This window comes from Homo sapiens, chromosome 6 (assembly GCF_000001405.40).
Source record: "Homo sapiens chromosome 6, GRCh38.p14 Primary Assembly".
NCBI lineage: Eukaryota > Metazoa > Chordata > Mammalia > Primates > Hominidae > Homo > Homo sapiens.
The window spans coordinates 134,525,318-134,547,103 of record NC_000006.12 but is presented as its reverse complement, the minus strand read 5'-3'; the positions used below and the strand labels follow the sequence as shown (position 1 = coordinate 134,547,103).

The 21,786-nt window shown below is 40.1% G+C and overlaps 1 long non-coding RNA gene across 2 annotated transcripts, besides 2 other annotated features; it reads left to right on the top strand.

The window, feature by feature from the left end:
* The first annotated feature begins 7,098 nt into the window (after positions 1–7,098).
* On the top strand, positions 7,099–21,786 carry LINC03002 (long intergenic non-protein coding RNA 3002). 2 transcript variants are annotated; one of them, NR_125855.1, is made up of 4 exons: positions 7,099–7,205; positions 16,040–16,266; positions 18,166–18,281; positions 21,561–21,786. It is a non-coding gene; the product is annotated as a long intergenic non-protein coding RNA 3002 (long non-coding RNA). The 2 variants fall into 2 exon arrangements; NR_125856.1 differs by lacking the exon at positions 18,166–18,281.
* Positions 8,996–10,195: an enhancer, noted in NCBI's record as "BRD4-independent group 4 enhancer chr6:134858047-134859246 (GRCh37/hg19 assembly coordinates)". NCBI's record gives its function as "activates an origin of replication core promoter dependent on BRD2, P300/CBP, MED14 and CDK7 cofactors, and independent of BRD4, by STARR-seq in HCT116 cells {active_cell/tissue: HCT116}" and the evidence as "EXISTENCE:reporter gene assay evidence [ECO:0000049][PMID:35650434]".
* Positions 11,749–12,948: an enhancer, noted in NCBI's record as "BRD4-independent group 4 enhancer chr6:134855294-134856493 (GRCh37/hg19 assembly coordinates)". NCBI's record gives its function as "activates an origin of replication core promoter dependent on BRD2, P300/CBP, MED14 and CDK7 cofactors, and independent of BRD4, by STARR-seq in HCT116 cells {active_cell/tissue: HCT116}" and the evidence as "EXISTENCE:reporter gene assay evidence [ECO:0000049][PMID:35650434]".

Sequence of the window (21,786 nt, the reverse complement as noted above, 5' to 3'; positions counted from 1 at the left end):
CTGGGTACTTCAATATTAACCCTTTTTCTTCAGGATATTCTAATTTAATGTGTACAAAGTTGTAGATGCTCGTGGACCTGTACAAGAAAGCTATACCAGATATTGATATTATCACCAAGAAATTTCTTTAAAGTGAAGTACATTCCAAGATGGTGTTCCCAAAAATGATGGTGTTGCAACTCAAAGAAGGCAAAAGAAGCAATCATTTTTTACCTCTAGGCTCTCCCATGAAAATCCCTACAGTGTCCTGATGCCATATACCTCATATTGAAGAATCCAAGGGCAGCATTAAGTTATTCCCTGCTGTATTGCTCTGTCTTGCTTCTTGGTGGACAAGGGAGCTCTCTAAGCTTGAATTTTCCCCTTTCCCAAGACTAAAAATAGACAATGGGCCACCTACATGGGTCATTGTTGTAGGATCTTGACTGAGTAAGATTAAATTTGTAATAGTCTTAAAGATATTAGCTCAAATTATTTCAATCTTAATTTCTATTTAATAAAAAGTCTTTGGTTCAGGCAGTTAAATCATTTCTGCAGGTGTGTTTCTCTACAATTATTTAGTCTTACTGCCTAGTTTCTATAAGGTTGGGTTATAAATTGCACTACTGGAGATTTTGTCGATCTCAAAGCATTTTCTAAATTAGGTCTGTGATCAAAATAAGAAATAATTGAGAAGAAACAATTTCTCCAAAGAATAGTTAAGAATATTAGTCCTTTGCGGCTAATACCCAGAATCTACAATGAACTCAAACAAATTTACAAGAAAAAAACAAACAACCCCATCAAAAAGTGGGCGAAGGATATGAACAGACACTTCTTAAAAGAAGACATTTATGCAGCCAAAAAACACATGAAAAAATGCTCATCATCACTGGCCATCAGAGAAATGCAAATCAAAACCACAATGAGATACCATCTCACACCAGTTAGAATGGCGATCATTAAAAAGTCAGGAAACAACAGGTGCTGGAGAGGATGTGGAGAAATAGGAACACTTTTACACTGTTGGTGGGACTGTAAACTAGTTCAACCATTGTGGAAGTCAGTGTGGCGATTCCTCAGGGATCTAGAACTAGAAATACCATTTGACCCAGCCATCCTATTACTGGGTATATACCCAAAGGATTATAAATCATGCTGCTATAAAGACACATGCACACGTATGTTTATAGCGGCACTATTCACAATAGCAAAGACTTGGAACCAACCTAAATGTCCAACAGCGATAGACTGGATTAAGAAAATGTGGCACATGTACACCATGGAATACTATGCAGCCATAAAAAATGATGAGTTCATGTCCTTTGTAGGGCCATGGATGAAGCTGGAAACCATCATTCTCAGCAAACTATCTCAAGGACAAAAAACCAAACACCACATGTTGTCACTCATAGGTGGGAATTGAACAATGAGAACACATGGACACAGGAAGGGGAACGTCACACACCGGGGACTGTTGTGGGGTGGGGGGAGGGGGGAGGGATAGCATTAGGAGATATACCTAATGCTAAATGATGAGTTAATGGGTGCAGCATACCAGCATGGCACATGTATACATATGTAACAAACCTGCACGTTGTGCACATATACACTAAAACTTAAAGTATAATAATAATAAAATTTTAAAAAAAAGAATATTAGTCCTTTGCTCCTTGGGCTGGCCTCATGCGCATGCAAATTGTATGATCATACAGTGCTTAGGAGACCTTGTACCTGGCTTCATGCCTTTCTATGCCATTTTAAAATTCTTGATAATTTTATCTTTGAACTTGTGATTTGTAAGTAAGTGAAATGGGACAATGGAGCATGTGCACAAGCAGAGAAGACACGTACAATGCATGATGGCTGTGATGCCTCATTACCCCATGAGCCACGTAGTATTCACCATGGCCCATAAGCAGAACATTCCAGTGGACCCACGATACATGGGAGTTCACTAAAACTCAAAGCAAGCAACATTAAGCATGTTAGGTCTACCACTGAGTAAGTAGCGGGAGAAGTGGTCTGATAACTGTAAGAGACCACTTTTCTTTTGAATGAGAACTCGCTTTGAATGAGAACTTTCTTGGAATGCAAACAGAAGGAAATAAGAGTTCTAAAAAACAGGAACAGCAAGGAACTCTCTCATATCCATAACTCATGTTACTTCCCTGTATTAGCCAACCACATATGCTAGAAATTGTGACATAAAGCAGAGAGAAAGATAAGTTGATCTACAGTTAACTTTCCTTTTAGTTTTTTCTTACCCATCAGTAAGTCAGAGGTAGAGAATGCTGGTAGAATGTATGCATATGAGGAAGAGAGGTAAGAACAGTTGAGTTAGTATTCTACAGCATTTCCACTGTTCTAGTCAGAGCAAAATATATGTGCATGTATGAGTACAAAATACAAATTGTGTGATTTTGATGACTCTACATTGGGTTAATGGCTTTTAAATTTGTGTTCAAGACTGGCATTGCACAATATAAAGATGAATGGTAAGAATCCTGCTAATAATTTAAAATTTTATTTTTTCTTATTTAGAACAGAATTATAGTAACAAAAAAACCATGACAAGTCAAGAGAAAGACTGTGAAAGAAAGGAAAAAACTATTTTAGTACCTTTAACAGCATGTTATTTTCTGCTTTTTGAATAGGAGGTTCTGCATTTTCATTTTGTTCTGGGCACTGCAAATTATATAGCTGGCCCTGGTTGCACCACAGCTGTTTGCTCCTTGACCTTGCTAAATCACTAAGAGATGGGGTTTGGGAAGAATGGAGGGGCGGGTGAGGCAGTGAGGCATACTTCAAGCCCCTTCCCTGCAAAGCCCTAGGGATTCTCTTCTGGATTGCTTTAATAAAGTTCTTTCTTGCTTTATTGTGAAATTATATTAATAATAGTAGTTTCTATTAGTTTTCCAACCAAAGAAAGGACCCTGTATTCTTCCTTATTTCTAATTTACTGAATACGCACTACCCTTTGTTAAACTCAAGTTATCTTTGCTATTGTTACTTTCTATAAGCAAGTTCAAACCACCCATGATTTGACACTGTGGAATACTTTCTTCTCTTCATTTTGTTTGTTTGTTTGTTTGTTTTTGAGACAGATTCTTGCTCTGTTGCCCAGGCTGGAGTGCAGTGGCACAATCTCGGCTCACTGCAACCTCTACCTCCTGGGTTGAAGCAATTCTCTTGCCTCAGCCTCCTGACTAGCTGGGATTACAGGCCTGTGCCACCATGCCTGGCTAATTTTTTTATTTTTAGTAGAGACGGGGTTTCACCATGTTGGCCAGGCTGGTCTCGAACTTCTGACTTCAAGTGATTCACCTGCCTCAGCCTCCCAAAGTGCTGGGATTACAGGTGTGAGCCACCATGCCTGGCCATTTCTCTTCATTTTCTTTTTTCAGTTTGTATTCGACCATCTAATTTCAAAACCATTTCCTTTTCATTACATTTTTAACCTTATAATTTAAGGTCACTAAAAGTGTTTTACATATATCCTGCAAAGTTTGATCTTTTTCTTCTCCCTTTTTTCTTATGTCTGATTTCTTATTTATTCTTAGGTCCACAGAAATGTAGGTAAGACCTAGGCCTTTATAGATGTCCTGTTGGTTACTTCTAAGGAAGAAAAGAATCATGTTGCTAGTTCTCTTTAAAGGTCTCCCAAGAGGCTATAAGCAACTTGCCAAAATGTCAGTAATGTTTTACCTCCGCCTTCACCTCTAGCTGTCATTCATCACCTCTAAGCAAATCTTTTGATCTTAGGAAAACCTCCACCTTGCCTTTTTAGTTTCTTTGATTTCTTACCTCACACTATCTAATTTCTGAATTCTCAGTATCAAAAGTGGTGAGACCTAAATCCTGTTCTGATTTGTTTGATCTATATCTTACAGGAGCTTTAAAATTTCAAGACCATCTTCATTCTGGCCTCTGCATACATGCCTCACCCCATTTCTTCCTTGCCCTTAGCTTTTTAGGAATACCAAGCTTCTTGTATTTATTCAAATGTGCCTTGTGTTTCAGTCCTCCTCACTTTTTCTCTTGTTAGTCCTTCTGTCTAGAATATCCTTTATTATCTTCTTTACTTAAATAATTACTTTTCAAGCTTAAAGTATCAGCACAGGCATTACCTCCACTGCAAGTCTTTCCCATTCCTTCATAAGACAAGTTAGGGTCCATCCAGTTAGGGCCCATATTACCGTGGGTATCACTCTATCTCAACACATTGTATATTGTACTAAAAACATCTGTTTATGTGATTGCCTTCAGACCATACTATGATGTCCTTGAGGGCAGGGATGTATCTTTTTATTTGTTGCATTATACAGCCCTGGACACATAGCAGTATTCAACACATATGTTTTTCCCTAAATTAAGACAAATTGAATTAGATGTGCTTTAATATAATATGTGATCTCTCTTCTGGACATTATGTGGTCCCAGCCCAGAGAATATACAGACAATTGATCCTTGAACAGTGTGGGGTTTGTGCAGTTGAAAATCCAAGTAAAGCTTTTAACTCCCTTAAAACTACCATCAGCTCACTGTCGACCAAAAGCCTTACTGATAACATAAACAGACAATTAATACATATTTTGTATGTTATATGTGTTATATACTGTATGTAAGCTAGAGGAAAAAAGAAAATCATAAGGAAGGGAAAATATATTTACTATTAATTAAATGAAAGTAGATCAACAATGGTCTTCATTCTCATTGCCTTCAGATTTGGTAGACTGAGGAAGGGGGGGGTTGGGTTGGTCTTGCTATCTCAGGGGTGGCAGAGGCCGAGGGAAATCCATGTATAAGTGTACCAGCACAGTTCAAACCCATGTTGTTCAAAGATGTGTGTGTTGTATAAATACATATGTATATATAAATTATGTGCTCCAGCATTATTCTCTAGATTTTTTTTTTTTTTTTTTTTGACAGAGTCTCGCTTTGAAGCCCAGGCTGATGTTGTGCAATCTTGGCTTACTGCAACCTCCACCTCCGGGGTTCAAGCGATTTTTCTGCCTCAGCCTCCCGAGTAGCTGGGATTACAGGTGTGCACCACTATGCCTGACTAATTTTTTGCATTTTTAATAGAGACAGGGTTTCACCATGTTGGCCAGGCTGGTCTCGAACTCCTGGCCTCAAGTGATCTGCCCACCTTGGCCTCCCAAAGTGCTAGGATTACAAGCATGAGCCACCGCGCCCGGCTAGCATTTTTAAAAAGTCATAGAGTGTTAGAGTTAAAAAGAACCCCAGAGTATCCCACTCAATTTAAGAATCTCCTTTGCAGAGTTTTGGCCAGTTGTTATCCATTTTATTTAATAATTTAATTTCATTTTATTCTTTTAACCTGGGTTGGGGGAGGGACCTGATGAGGAACAGATAGTTTCACAGACCCTTTTACTCAAAGCCAATTGCTAATATAAATTCTCTTCTCCAGAAGCCTATTGTAATCAGGGATAAGTTGAGTCATAGGTAGCGGAAAGGTCATCAAAAACTTTTGCTATCCCTAGGTTTGGGCAATCCTTTCTGAAGAATTTCACAAGAAGATTCTACCAAATTTTCAGAAATTTAAGAGTTCTGTTATGAGCTCAGCTAAAGATAAGCCATTCAGAGAGTAGTTTTGAGTCCTTTTCATGAGCTTTAGCTAGAATTTTGATTTCTTGGTACTTTTTGATTCATTTCATTCTTGGGAAAGCTAAGTGCATGGATTGTCATTTTCGTCAGTGTCTTGCGTCAGTTACAAGATTGACATCTATTCTTTTTACCTTGGGACAAGAACACTGGATTCCAAGAAGCAACTTCCAGGTTTTTCAAGTTTTTCAGTATCAGTATTTCCTTATATATGGGTTCTGTCGACCTTGCCGTAGACACACAGATATATGTAGGAGGTTAGCCCGCTGGTGGTGATGAAAGCCAGCCTTTACAGTCAACTGGAGACTGGTCACTTGTCCACATGCCTAAGGGATCTGACCTGATGAACAGGGCCTACCTGAGGAACCTGACATGTGGGTTCTGTACTTTCTGCTGCCAGCTCTTTATGAGGTTCAAGGGTCTTTAACTTTGTCTCTGTACTAACTCCTTGTACTGCTGAAAATAGACAATGCCTATCTAACTTTGCCAGGTTATTTTGAGAGTCAAAGGAAAAAATATGTGCAGAGTTAAAAGTGCCGTGGAAGTGAAAAAGTGGTGTGTTCTTTCTTCTATTCCTATTGGGAGTTGACTGCTTATCTCATTTTGCATAATAAACTGGCCCAGATTGGGTGGAGCAGATAGAAAGGAAGAGGTGTCTAGCAAGAAAAGATGGGCTTAACAGTGTTTGCTTTTTTCTCCATGTACTGATTGAGACTATTTCTTAATCAGAGAAAATCTGTTTGGGATCCAGAATGGTTTTCTCTGAAAAGAAGATGAATTGCTAAGTTATAAAACTAGGGCAATGGGATGGAGAGACTTCTCACCCATGATTTGATACTGTGGATTACTTACTTCTCTTCATTTTCTTAAGAGCCATAATTGCCCTGCAATGGATCATGGATCCCAGGCTGCTTCTGGACAGGTACTATTGGGCCAACACTCAGACTTACGTTCAGTACCCCCATTTGTGTCCTGTGGCATTGTGCCCAATGTAGCAACTAGAGTGATAAATGACTTCCTGCGCCTAAGGTCACCAAACAAGCAAATGCTCCCCAGGGTCATTAGATGGCTTTGTGTTCTTCTCCTAAATTGTTCCATCAGTGAGCCAGGATGGTGGAGGACTTGATTTTTTTTAATTTTATTTTTGATGCTCCTTCTAGGCTCCAGACTCACTGGAGACATCCTGACACATAATGCTTCGCCCAGCACAATGCGATGCCCTTTACCTAGTAAAAGGGTGAGTCCCGTAAAGGTGCTGCCTTCCCCCCAGAACAAACAAGGGAAATGCATCAGGAGAGCTCAGCTGCAGACAGAATGCACATCATGAAGCAGGAGCCACCCTGGGATTCCTCAGATGAAAGCCAATTTCAATGAACATTGTGTTTCAAAGCCCGCTTCCTCTTGCTCGGTAAGAGCTGCAGAAGGAACATCCCACTTGAGTCTGCTGACACAAAAGAATGCTGTGGCTGGGAGATCTTATCGAGCCTTCCTGTGCCACAGCAACAGAGCTCCAGTTGTGTCTTGTAAGAATTGGTCATTGTTTCATGGGGACGACTGGCTCCTTTGGGTGGGATCTGATGGCATCTCATGGAGTTGAGGTAGGTGGTGCTGGGAGGTCAGCCAGCCACATGACCTGGCTTGCTGGCTTCTCGGAAGTCAGATAGAAGAGCAAACTTCACCCAGTTTGCTGGATGCCGAATAGTTAAACATTTTAAGTTTAACCATTAAAATATGTATTTTCTGTTTCCTTAATAATATCTTCAACTGTACAAGTTAAGAACAAAAATTAGAAATGATGTTCAGGTTTTCTCAGTTGGTATAAGCTGTTTATTGTTCTCTTTTAACCAACAGTTATTTGATTCTAACAAAACTGAGGAAAATCAAGTAGTGTTTTGAAAAATATAAATTTAATTATTTAAAACTATCTATGGAGAATGTAGATGCTAATACGTAAACATTTTAGTGTTGATGACATAAGTCTCAAAAATATTTATTTGCTTCGTGAAGATGAACTTCCAGTTTACAATCATCACATTTGTATATAATAGTGTAAGTTAATAACATCAACTTAATTAAATTTGGCTAATTCTAGATAGTGTCTTCTTTTCCTAGAAAGCTCGTGGCCTTTTCCAGAGAGGGAAAATTGATGGTTACTTGTTCAGTTATACGGAGAGTAGAATTTGAATTTTCTTCTCTTTCCTCTTTCTCTTCCTAAAGGTCTGCTGCAGTAATGAATACATATAGAAATATATATAACTGTCGGTAAGACATGTCAGGGAAAAGGGGGGCCGTGAGTTTCCTAAAGGAACTTAAAGAAATTTTTTTTAGATTGAGGGGGTACATGTGTAGCTTTGTTACATGGCTGTATTGAGTGATGCTGAGGTTTGGGCTTCTGTTCGAACAATCACCCAAATAGTGAACACAGTATTCAATAGGCAGCTGTTAAAGTCTTGCTTTGCTTCCTCCCCTCTTCCCCCACTTTTGGAGTCCCCAGTGTCTATTGTTTTCATCTTTATGTCCATGTGTACTCAATATTTAGCTCCCACTTGTGAGAACATGCAATATTTGATTTTCTGCTTCTGCGCTAATTCACTTAGGATAATGGCCTCCAGCTGCATCCACATCTCTGCAAAGGACATGATTCCATTTATTTTTATGGTTGCATAGTATTCCATGGTGTGTATGTATCACATTTTCTTTGACCAGTCCACCATTAATGGACACCTAGGTTGATCCCATGTCTTTGCTCTTGTGACTAGCGTTGTAATAAACATATGAGTGCAGGTGTATTTTGGTAGAATGATTTATTTTCCTTTGGGTATATATCCAGAATGGGATTGCTGGGTCAAAGGGTAGTTCTATTTTTAGTTTAAAGAAATATTTTAAATCCCTCTTTCCCATATCTCCCTGTAGAATTTTCTAAAATGCTGTTTGTTCCATGTATTCTGATATTCAGAAAAAACAATTATTTTGCTTTAACTTTGTACAAAGTTCTGAGGATCAAGATATTACCAAAACACCATCTCTGTTCTAAATATACATTTTAAAATTATCATGCATAATTAGTTATGTGTAAATGTTTCTGCCCTCACTGAACTGTGAGCACCTTGAAGAAGGGAGCTAGACCATATTCATCTTCCTGTCTCCAGTGCTGACCACAATGTCCTGCACATAGAAGTGCTTAGTGAATATTTATTGACGGACAGGTGGATGGATGGGTGAGCAGATGGATGAATGGATGGCCATGCTATAGCCTAGCACATTTACAAGTAGGGATTTAATTCAGGCTATCCACATGGTGCTTGGCATGACTACACCTGTTAATCCTCTGGGCATTTATTATCCCACTCTTTTGTTTGTTTGTTTGTTTGTTTGTTTGTTTTTTTGAGATGGAGTTTCACTCTTGTTGCCCAGGCTGGAGTGCAATGGCACTATCTCAGCTCACTGCAACCTCTGCCTCCTGGTTTCAAGCGATCCTCCCACCTCAGCCTCCTGAGTAGCTGGGATTACAGGCACGCGCCACCATGCCCAGCTAATTTGTTGTTGTTGTTGTTGTTGTTGTTGTTGTTGTTGTTGAGATGGCGTCTTGCTCTGTCACCTAGGCTGGAGTGCAATGGTGCCACCTCCGCCTTCCAGGTTCAAGCGATTCTTCCACCTCAGCCTCTGGAGTAGCTGGAATTACGGTGCACGCCACCACGCCTGGCTAATTTTTTTTGTAGTTTTGTAGAGACGGGGTTTCACCATGTTGGCCAGGCTGGTCTTGAACTCCTGATCTCGGGTGATGTGCCCGCCTCAGCCTGCCAAAATGCTGGGATTGCAGGTGTGAGCCACCGCGCCTGGCCTGTTACTCCACTCTTAATTACACAGAATGCAGATATTTTCAAGATCACCTTGTCCAACTCCTTCAGTTTACAGTTGACGAAATGAGATTCAGAGAGAGAATTTGATTTATCCATAGTCACATAGCTTATAATTAAGTGGCAGCTCTTGGTTAACATCCAGACCTCTTGATTTTCAGTCAAATGCCAACTACATGATGTTGCTTTCCATGACTCATATTTGGAGGTTTTCAGGCACCCTATGGAGCAGTCTGTCCCTCCTGGCTCATCTGGGGCAATATGAGAGCAAATGGGGCTAGAACAAAACTGGATGAAAGGAGAAACTCTGGGGCTGCTGAATTCACATGCCGATGGTGCTGGGGAAAGGTATGAACAAGAATGACTCACGGTTATTCAGGCTGATGTCATTCCATGACTCCCTCAGAAGATGCCACACTCAAAATTCAGCAGATGGCATGCCATCCCTTCCCTAGGTTTCCTGGCTAACCTCTGGAGATGGTGATGTCCAGCCCTACTCCACTTACCAAAATCTCTGTTTTATGTAAAGTCCAGCCTTTGGAAACCCTTTCCAAAGAAGCTTTTTTCCCCACCACTTAATGGTGAGGCTGATGTAATGGTACTATCTCTAGACCTTCCTGATATAAGGAAATGCTCCTAATGCATTATTTCTGATGGTCTGGATTTTGGTTTCTCTAAGTTATGCCCAGTTACAATGCATCTAAATGCATATGATGGATCTATACTTAACCAGAATGTTGTTTATTAATAATTTAACCTTGGGCCAGGAGTGGCGGCTCACGCCTGTAATCCCAGCACTTTGGGAGGCCGAGGCGGGTGGATCACGAGGTCAGGAGTTTGAGACCAGCCTGGCTAACATAGTGAAATCCCGTCTCTACTAAAAATACAAAAAAGTAGCCAGGCGTGGTGGCGGGCTCCTGTAATTCCAGCTAGCCAGGAGGCTGAGGCAGGAGAATTGCTTGAACCCAGGAGGCGGAGGTTGCAGTGAGCTGAGATCAGGCCATTGCACTCCAGCCCAGGCGACAGAGTGAGACTCCATCTCAAAAAAAAAAAAAAAAAAAAAAAAAAAAAGAATTTAACCTTGTAGAGTAAACTATTTTAGAATGAGCACATAACAGAATAGAGGAATCTCAAAATAATTATGCTGAGTGAAAGAAGCCAGACCAAAAAAAGAGTACATACAGTATGATTCTGTTTATATAAAACTCTGGAAAATGCAAACTAATCTAGAGGAAGAAAAAGCACAGCAGTGGTTGTCTGGGGAGATGGGGAAGGAGTGGAAAGGACAGAGGGATAGAAAGGGGAGCAAGCAAACTTTGGAGGGTGATGAATATGTTCACTGTCTTGATTAGGGGATCTGCATATGTCGAAATTTATCACACTGTACAACTTAAATATGTGCAGTTTGTTGTATGTCAATTATACCTCAAAAAGCTGTTTTTCTCAAAGAATGTAATCTTTTAACGTTCAACTAAAATACTGTATTATTAAGTTTTCAATAAGAGAAGCAAAAACACTAGGATGCCTGTGTGTATGTATGTATATGTATTTATACAGTTCCAGGGATTTGACATTACATAATAGTGTGGTGTGGTTAAGTGGTTAAGTCATGTCTGTAAAGCTGTTGTCTTCATATCCAATGCTGGAGCTTGAATTCCAATGACAGGTTGTCAGGAAAGGAAGATGGATATAAAGTGGGGAAGAACCAGAGCAGGCTAGAACCCCAGACACAGTGGGGGCTCACAAGGACAGACTGAAACTTGCACCAGTTCTGAATGCCTCTAACCTTGGTTGTATAACGTCCTTCAGAGGCAGAGCCCTTCATAACAGAGCTCAGTAAAGGTGTGTACCTGGCCCAGGAGTTGGAGAAGCTTCAGGAGGATCCATCCAGGGGAAGGTGGAACAGTTGCAGGCCCAGCTGCTGTCTCATGCAAGAGGTGATCCAGCAGCGAAGAGACATATATAAGGTAGCAAATGGCTGCTGCTTTACTCCCCTCTCCAAATTTTGCCCGAGAATCTCTCCTGTGACCCACCCTAACCAGAAACACACAAAAAAGGGAATTCTGGGAAACAGAGTTCAGTCTAGTTGGGTTCGCTCTTTACAAAGCCACACCTTGACAACTTGGCCTCCTACTCTCTCCTTAACTCAAACTTAATTTCCAATTACAGATAATAACAAAGTTGTGCCTGCCTCTAACATGATATGTCTGTCCCAAGAACAACCAAAATACACTTTTCTGTAAGAGAGAATCCAACATTCTTGTTATGATTTTGGGTGATATTCATTTTTCTTTTAACAGATTCACAACAGATTCTCACCTCTCCTTTGATATCCTACAACTTATACATTGAGATATTAAGTTAAATAGTATTAACACATTTTATGTTAGATGATAAGGGAATGAGACAGAAGACAAATACAAAGTAATTGGTTAAAGAAATATATATACATATATTTATATGTATGTTTGCATATAGTCCTATAAAAATGAAGAAATACTCATAATTATTACAGTACTTGTATCTGTCACTGGTCACATGACCACAGCTGGTATTTAGAACTACATTCTTCCACTACCTACTTCATGTTCCCTTTGTTCTCAGTAAGTACTTTAACTGGTCTTGGGTTTTTGCCTGGTGATATAAACCAAATCTTTGTTCCTGAATGTTCTAGGACATTAGCAGTCTTGTTAAGTTGAACTGATGTAGTTTTCTATTCACTTTAATCACAGGATATGGTAGTACTAACAGGAAACCTAGAACTTTAGCTTTCAAGACATGCTCCTGATTCTCTTTGTGTAGAAGCAGCCTAGATTGAATCACTGCCTTCTTTGCCTGTTGATTCAATGGCATGAGTCAAAGCGGTCAGGTGGCACTCCAGATCAACCGAGTCATCATATGTCCCCTGACAGAAGAACTCCTCCTTTTGGAACTAAGACCTCTTTACCACCCGAGCCTGATGTCACAGGGACTGGAAGCAATCGTTTGTTAGTGAACTGCTAGGGATAATAGTGAGAAGATCCTGTCCTATTTCCACCCCTTGATCCCCGTACGCATGAGTTCTGGCTAAGGAAGAAACAGAAATATATGTTGGATGCTGATCTAGAGCATACTTTGCATCCTAAAAGACCATACATGAGTCTCCAAAAGGACATTCCACCATTCTATCAAGCCAGCTGCTTCAGGGTGACGGGGAACACGGTAAGATCAGTGGGTTGCATGAGTCCATTGCTGTACCTCATTTGCTGTGACACAAATTTGTTGGTCAAAAGTGATGCTGTGTGAAATACCGTGATAGTGAATAAGTTATTCTGTACATGGTTTTTGTAGTGGTTTTAGCAGGAGCATGTGGGCAGGGAAGTCAAATGCATATCCACAACAAGTGTCTATTCCAGTAAGAGCCAAACACTGCCACTTCCATGAGGGAAGTGATCTAATGTAATCAGCCTAGTAGCTGGGAATGGTGCCATGTCAGGAGCTCACTGTCAATCTCTGCTGTTAACAGATCAGGCACTCAGTTTTGGCACCACTCAGTGGTGGCTATAGCTAGATAGGCCTTGGTAAGTAGAAGTTCATGTCGATGAGCCCACGCATAACTGCCATTTTTTGCCACCATTGCCTTTTTTTTGTTTTTTTCATTTTCCAGTTGGGTAATGACAGGAGTTGGTTGGGAAGAAAGGTGACGAATGTCCACAGAATGGCTCATTCTGTTCACCTGATGAATAAAATCCTCCTCTGTTGAGTTTACCCTTTGGCGAGCATTCACATGGAACACAGATATTTTTACATACTATGCCCATTTGAAGAGGTCCATCAACCTACCTTTTCACCAGATTTCCTTGTCACCAATTTCTCAATCATGTTCCTTCCAATTCTCTGACCATACAACCAAATAGCCCATGAGTTAGTGTTGACTTGTACTTCTGGACATTTATTCTTTGAAGCAAAATGAATGACCAGGAGCATTGCTTGAAGTTCTGCAAACTAGGCCCAAGATTTTTATCCCTTTATCAGCTTGTCATAGGAAGCTCTCCAAGGGTCATAGGTGTAAGTTGAGAGAAAGAAGGCAATGTAATAGGAGTAAGGGTCACGGATATGTAGGCCACTTGCTCATGCAACGTATTTGTGCTTTCAGGCCCTGCTGAGGCCCAATTTCGTATCTACCACTTCCATTTAATCAGAGAGTCCTTCTGTGCATACTCAACTTTATGGCCTGGTGACTCAGACAACACTAGTAATGGGCAGCTCAGGTCATATGGTAACTTGGTAGCCCATCGTCAAACATTCAGTCTCTACCAAGGCCCGGTAATAACATAAAAGCTATTTCATAAAAGAAGAATCATTACCTATCAAGAATGGCAGGGCTTTCTTCCAAAATTCTAAGGGTCTTGTCTGTGCTGTACCTATAGGAGCCTGGCAAAGGCTTTAAACAGCCTTTCTTTCTGTTACTGGCATTTCAAGCACCATTGGCTCTTCTGGATCATGTGGTCTAAGTGGCAGAGCTGCTTGCAGAGCAGTCTGGACTTACGGAGCCTTCTCTTGTTCTGGTCTCTATTTGTGGGGTGCCTCAACATGCCTCAGACTTGATATTTGTGGGGTTTATTTCCTACCCTTGGTGTGCAAATGTCTTACCACTATATCTAGAGCAGTTTGTACTTTTTAATTACCAGAGAAGGAATCAGAAAAGCTGAAGGAGGATACATGGGAAGATGAAACAGCTGCAAGCCTGGCCACTGCCCACACCAAGGAAGTAAGCCAGCAGATAAGCCACAGTGTTTAGGGGGCGGCTGAAATGTGGCTGCTGCTTCCCTTCCACCCTCCTTTCTCCCACAAGAACCTCTCCACATAGCTCACCTTACCCGGAAAGATACAAGAACAGGAATTCTGTGAAATGTAGTTCATCCTAGCCAAGCTGACACATTACACACTACAGATTCAACTTATGATCTATTATTATAGGATGGAGAATCCAGTTTTTTTTTTTTTTTTTAAAAGTAGATGGCCTATCTTGGCATGATCTTCTTTCCTGAAGAATTCATCTAACAAAATTGTTTCTTACCTACAAGGCTTTGATTCCATAGAATTTGTGTGTATATTCTAGCTCTGGGGAGATGATCAAAAGGGAGCTGTTTCCAGAAACATATTATTTTTTAATAAATAAATTCTTAACAGTGTGAAAATATAGTCACAGTTTGAGTGTATTATTTATCAATTGCTTTTCCAGAGAGACTAAAATTTGCTTAGGTTTGAGGTTTTTTTTTTAATATTTAATCTTCAAAGTATTAGCATTTACTTTTAAGTTAAAAAGTGTGCTGTGGGCAAACAGCAATGTGATATGCTTTTGCATTGTACCAAAAAGAACATCTCAGCATTTGCTCTCCAGGCTTCTTGGAATGCAGTTCATTGTGGTGCTGTAGGTGACCATAGTGTTTCCAGAATTGATTGTCCAGGAAGTGCAGGGCATCCCAGTGTGTGTACCTGTTCCTCTGCAGAAAGCACTAATTTTCTTTTGTTTCTTTGTTTTGTTTCTGTAAACGATCTAAGAGAAGACTGATGTCAACTTTTGTCTCGTAATACACGAATCTATGAGTTTCTCTCAGAAAATGGTAAGATCATTGCTCTGTGCAAGAAAGGAGGGTGTATGTAAGGAGTATGTGACAAGCTTTGCAGGGACAGAATTCACAACAGAGAGCAGCTAAAGGAAGAGAAAGTACAAGTGACACTAAAGGGAAGGTGATTTTCAAATCCACCCTTGCTTATCTCAAACCAGTGCATGATTTCCTGATGAAGCCATTTGTCCACCCTACAGTGCTGTTGTTTCTAAAAATTCCTACCACAGAATAACAACTGTCAACACCTGCCTCAGACACAGCAGTAGGGAAGACTGCAAGTGGGAAAGAGATTTAAACACACCAACCTTTTTAGGAACAAAATCACTCATATCAGCTGATTTGCTGAATTAAAGGATTTTTTAAAGTATATGGTATTCTTTGACATAGTATTGGCTGAATAATCATTTAACAAATGTCACTGGTGGATGAATTAAGTAAGAAAGGTGTCACGTTGGCTCTTCATACAGACATTTGGCGAGTAATTGGCACTAAAAGGATTCTGATTTCTTCCCCTGCCATTTTGATCTTTCAAGTTTTAAAATAGCAAATAACATTGGTCCTTAGGGTTGGTCCATGTTAGAATCACAATGGACAGAGACCCTGAAAAACTGTACAAAAGAGGGAGGAACAGAACAGAATGGAAAAAAGTTATGGAAATTTTCCACCCATGGATGGGACACACCCTCATGCAAACAAAGCTCTGCGGCGAAGACTATATTTCATAAAAATGTGATAAAACACTTGCTGAGCCCTGAGGGGATGAACAATGGTTCTTTTTATTTTATTTTTTTTAATCTTCCAAAATTCAGTCTCACATGCTGAGCAGTTGAAGGGAAAGGCCTTTTGTCATATCTGTTTCCAAACATCTATTTCCTTTCTGGAGCCCCAGAAGTTTGAGTTGCTGTCACAGTGAGGAGCTCTCTTGTGTCAGCCACTCTGATTCTATGTCCTTGTCCTAACTAGGTTGTCTGCCAACGCTAACTGGCCAGCTCTGACAGGAGGTGCGTGGCCCAGGAGGAGCCATCAGGCCAGTTCTCTGGGATACTGCTGTGTCTCCAGCTCTGCAGTTTGCTCTTCGTCACTCAGCGGCAGACGGAGAGGCAGACACGAGCCCCTTGTGAGCCCTCCTCCTTACCGTCATCTCACAATGCTCTGAAATAAGGAGGCAAATGGCTGAGGTCCCCTCAGTTGTGAGTATCTTGCTTCCTTCCCCAATGCCTCTTCAAACCACTTTGTCAAAAACAACAACAACAACAAAACAAAAACAAAAACAAACAGATTCTTGTGTTCATGATACTAAAACAAAATTGCGTAAGGTCTGTTGCTTAAGATTAAGCACTGGCCGGGCACGGTGGCTCACGCCTGTAATCCCAGCACTTTGGGAGGCTGAGGCGGGCGGATCACGAGGTCAAGAGATCGAGACCATCCTGGCTAACACTGTGAAACCCTGTCTCTACTAAAAATACAAAAAATTAGCCGGGCGCGGTGGCAGGCGCCTGTAGTCCCAGCTACTCGGGAGACTGAGGCGGGAGAATGGCGTGAACCCGGGAGGCGGAGCTTGCAGTGAACTGAGATCACGCCACTCCACTCCAGCCTGGGTAACAGAGCAAGACTCCGTCTCAAAAAAAAAAAAAAAAAAAGATTAAGCACTCAAAAAATGTCAAAGTTGGTCTTAAAAATCTGGCTGTGGTTAATGGGATCAGCTGCATTTTTCTTTAAAATGATGTAACCCATCTCCTCCATTTTACTTTTGCATTTGACTTTCCAACTTCCACGCGAAGGAACAGCATGTGGTTTACTTGTGGTCATATGTTACATGTTGCTTTGGTGCTTTACAACTTTCAAAAAGCTTTTATACAACAGTGATATCATCAGTTCCTCAGATAACCCTGTGATGTGGGTAGGTTGATGGATACTCTATCATCATTTCCCATATGAGGAAAGAAGAGTAAATAAGTTACACAACATGGACGAGGTCACCCTGCACTTCAGAGGTGGAACCAAATTCCAACAGAAGCATTGAATTTCTAGACGAGTTTTTGTTTGTTTTTTATCTTTTCCATCACACCAAGCCACCTCTGTGAAGGAAAATTGTATGCATCTCCCTAATCCAACATTTTTCATGTTAATTATCCACTAAATTACAGCCACAATTTGGTAGTCTCAGTAGCTATTCTGGTTTGAGGACAACTTTTTCCAAATTTCCATATTTTTTCTACTACTTTATCATTTTCTTCTCTACTTGGAATGCCATACTTAACATTCACAACAACACCCTCTTTTATCTTTCTTCTTTCTTCCCTTTCTCTGTTTTTTTCTTTTTCTCCCTTTGTCTCTCCTCTTTTTCTCTCTGCCTTTCTCTGTCTCCTTTTTGTGTGTTTATTTTTGTTTTAGTTTTAGAGACAGGGTCTTGCTATGCTGCTTGGGCTGGTCTCAAACTCCTGGGCTCAAGCAATCCTTCTGCCTTAGCCTCTCAAAGTGCTAGATTATAGGCATGAGCTGTCATGCCCAGCCTAGTTTTGTTTGTTGATTGCATACTGAAAGTAACACATGACTAGAATATAAGAGAACTGAGTTTGAGATATTATAATTTCACATAACCTCTATAGGTCTCTGTTGTTTTATCTCTAAGATTGTTTTTTGTAAAATAATGATTTTCTACACAAGTGAAGAAGAGGGAAGGGAAAATGGGATTTTTGTGCTAATCAAAAATAATATGTGGTTAAAAAAATTGAGGGCTACCTAATTTGTAGGTTTTCTTATTTTAAGTAATAGATGATAGGATCAAATCCAGGTCTTCTGTCTACAAGTCAAATATTTAGGAAGCTGCTGGGTGCAGTGACTTGCATCTGGAGAGGCTGAGGCAGGAGGATCACTTAAGTCCAGGAGTTTGAGGCTACAGTGAGCTACAATTGCTCCACTGCACTCCAGCCTGGGTGACAGAAGACTCCATCTCTAAAACAAAATAAAACAAAACCAAAAACAAACAAACAAAAAAAATTATTTAGTGATTTTATTTTTTAGTGACTTTGTTAGCCTTACCAATAAGTTACTTTTACTTTTTTTTTTTTTTTTTTTTTTTGAGACAGAGTCTCGCTCTGTCCCAGGCTGGAGTGCCGTGGTGTGGTCTTGGCTCACTGCAACCTCTGCCTCCCGTGTTCAAGCGATTCTCCTACCTCAGCCTCCCGAGTAGCTGGGATTACAGGTGGGTGCCACCACTCCTGGCTAATTTTTGTATTTTTAGTAGAGATGGGGTTTCACCACGTTGGCCAGGCCGGTCTCGAACTGCTGACCTCGCGATCCTCCCACCTCAGCCTCCCAAAGTGCTGGGATTACAGGCATGAGCCACCACGCCCAGCACCAGTAAGTTATTTTTAATATGAAATTCCAAGACAGGATATACAAAATTTAGGAAAGAAAGAAGCCAGAATTTTAACAAGCTACTCCTGTCTTCACTATTATTAATACCAGATAATTTCTCATATTGATGGCATTTTTTTCTTAGAAACTCTAATCTAACAGTCAACAAAAAAACTACAATAAGCAAAAGAGGATATGAGACGATTATTCTAGCATTCTATTTTTCTGGTTCTCTTTGTCAAGCTAAGCGTTATGAGGTAATGGGGGTGTTTGTTCTGACTGGAAATGTGTTGCATTTAGATATTATATACAAAGGTTTTTCCTGGAATAACATCGTTATTTAGCTAAAAAGCTATAGCTCCATAGACTTGTGTGCTCTGAACACAGCTGCATAATTAGTAATCATCATTAATCATTTCTACTTCTGTACTTTTATCACCAACAAAATTATAGCAACCTATATTTTTAGTAAATTTTAATTGCAAGTTTAATTTGATATTTATTTATCACTATAAGAAGCAGTTTGCTGAACTGATTACGCAAATTTAAAATGATGTTTCTGAAGATAGAAATAAAACTTCCCACCAGGAATAAACAGACTTTTCAAAAGAAGAATATCTGCCTCTTGGCAAAAAAAAAAAAAAAAATAGAAAAAAAGAAAGGCTTTTAAGTTTTTTCCACCTTTAATGTGAAAATGAGTATTCATACGGGATGGCTTTAGACTACCTATTAGAAAATGCATATCAAGTAAGAGATGTATAATTTATAGAGTTGATTGCTTTGAGCAGAAAAGCTTAAAAAGGAGTTTTTGCAACTCAGGTTGTTCTCAAGAGGCAAACGTATGCTCATTATTCAGAATTGAAACCTGCCTGTGAAATACACAACAAAAAGGAAAAGAAACTTAGAGAAATGTTTGAGAGGTAAAATGTTTTACCACTCTTGGAAAAATTTTCTTGCTTCTTTTCTGTAAGAAGGAATAAGATAGTTGTTAACACTCTTGAAAACTATCTTAGAGAGTGAGGCTTGAACAGTTGAGGTTTTCTCATGGGACTGTGCACTGATGTCTTGTGGTGCTGTATCAGTATCTCCAGGCTTTCTTAGGTGGACAGTTGAATGGATGTGTCAACAGAAGCTGAGAAATGTTCTCTCAGCCAGGCTTAAGACATGAAAAGAAATGGCTTTCTTCATTTACAAAATTGAGCCACGAATAGACTCAAGAACAAAAGCCTAACAAGGAAGATGAATAACATAGAATTATCACTGTCACTTACATTATGTCCAGAATAACTGGATTACAAAAGGCAAGTCATGTTGTCAACAGCCCGAGATATGTGAGGAAACTCTCTGATGAAGGCCTATGCCCAAATGTCCTGAAATGGAAATCTGAGACCTGTGAGTACAAAAGTGCCCTGAATGTTCTTAACTGGCAGGGTGAAGGCAAGGGGACGGGGCAGTTTCTAAAGCAGCTAGAACCCTTCAATCACATGCAAGGAACTGGTAATCTGAAAAAACAAACCACCAAGAAAGAGTACAGATAAATGTCATAGCAAATCAAATGGAACATGATAAGCCAAGCTCTATACTCCTATTAGAACAGGAAATTCCAAGGAGAGATACCTTGACTTTTAAATAGTCTGCAGACACAAGCAATGCATTCTTCACAGGCATCTTATTTCCTGTTTTTGTTTTGTTTTGTTTTTGACTTTTTAGTATTTATTTTAACGTTTTTGAAAGAGATACATTTTTTCCAATTTAAAAAGAAAGAGACATGACCATCAAGAGTAGGTTAACATATAGCAGAATACCATATAAATGAATTAGCTGCTAGCTACAAGCAGCAACTTGGATGAGTCTTAAAAACATAACATTGGGGCTGGGCACGGTGGCTCATGCCTGTAATCCCAGCACTTTGGGAGGCCGAGGCGGGCAGATCACGAAGTCAGGAGATTGAGACCCTCCTGGCTAACACGGTGAAACCCCGTCTCTACTAAAAATACAAAAACAAAATTAGCTGGGCGTGGTGGTGGGCGCCTGTAGTCCCAGCTACTCGGAAGGCTGAGGCAGGAGAATCACTTGAACCCAGGAGGCAGAGCTTGCAGTGAGCCAAGATCACGCCACTGCACTCCAGCCTGGGCAACAGAGGGAGACTCTGTCTCAAAAAACAAACAAACATAACATTGGACAAAAACACATCACAGAACAGTATGTATAATATAGTACCATCTGTACAAAGGTCAAAGCAGGTAAAATTAAACAATATATTATCAGGAATCTATAAATAGGTAGTAAAGCTATAAAGAAAATCAAGGAACAAGTACCATAAATTTCAGTATTGCCCTTAGTGGCAGGGAGAAGGAGATGTGATCAAGAAGGGCACAAAGGTGTCGAATACTGGCAGTGTTTTGTTACTTAACGCTGCTGGTAGGAGCCTGAGTATTCATTTTATTATCTTTACACCAATTATAAATGCTGTCATCTACTTCTTTAAATGTATGATTTGTAAGTTTGTTTCCTCAGAAAAGATGAGTCAAGTTTCAAAATTTTATTTCATTTATTGAGATCCAAGTATCCCTATTTTCTGAGGGTGGCCTTTATCCAGAGACACCTATGAAGAAACCCAACATGCAGAGTTTCCAGATCCATAGACAATGCTGCCAAAGTGTAAAAAATAAATAAAATAAGATAAAAATCCGAAAAAAATTATTTTTTTTAAAGTTGGTATCCATATATATGAACTGACACTCAAGGCCTTTTACAACCTGAACCCAATCTTTCTTTCTAAGCAGATGATATCCCAGAACTTCCCAGTGGGACCTTTTCCTTGTTAAATGTTATTCCCTGGCCAAGCCTTACATTTCCCATGTTTGTGCTGTGATTATCTCATTCCATTTACCTGCATTTCCCACCCTCTTGCTGATTGGCCATCTTAGTTTGATCTTTTCTGGGAAGCCACCTCCATAACCTTTGTCTGAAGTGCTCTGGCTCTCTTGAGCTCTCAACAACTGCCAATTTAATTCTCCTAGCAGTTAACCTTGGGTGCCCTGTAACAACTGCATTTTCACCAACCAAACCCCTTTCCCTCCTGGGCAGAGAGCTTGACTTTATTTTCTGTCTTCCCTTGCAGGTAGATGTGATTGAGTTCTATCTACCAGAAGCATATGCCTCCTGGAAGCCTGGTTCTAACACCTCCCACAAAATCCTTCAAGCACTTTTTTCTGTTCCAAGGTTTGCTTATGGGGGACCCAGTGAAGTGCTTCAGAGCCCTAGAGATTTGCTGAGTCATATGAGGGGTCAGCAAACTTTTCCTGTAAAGGGTCAGATAATAAACATTTTAAGCTTTGTAGACTGTA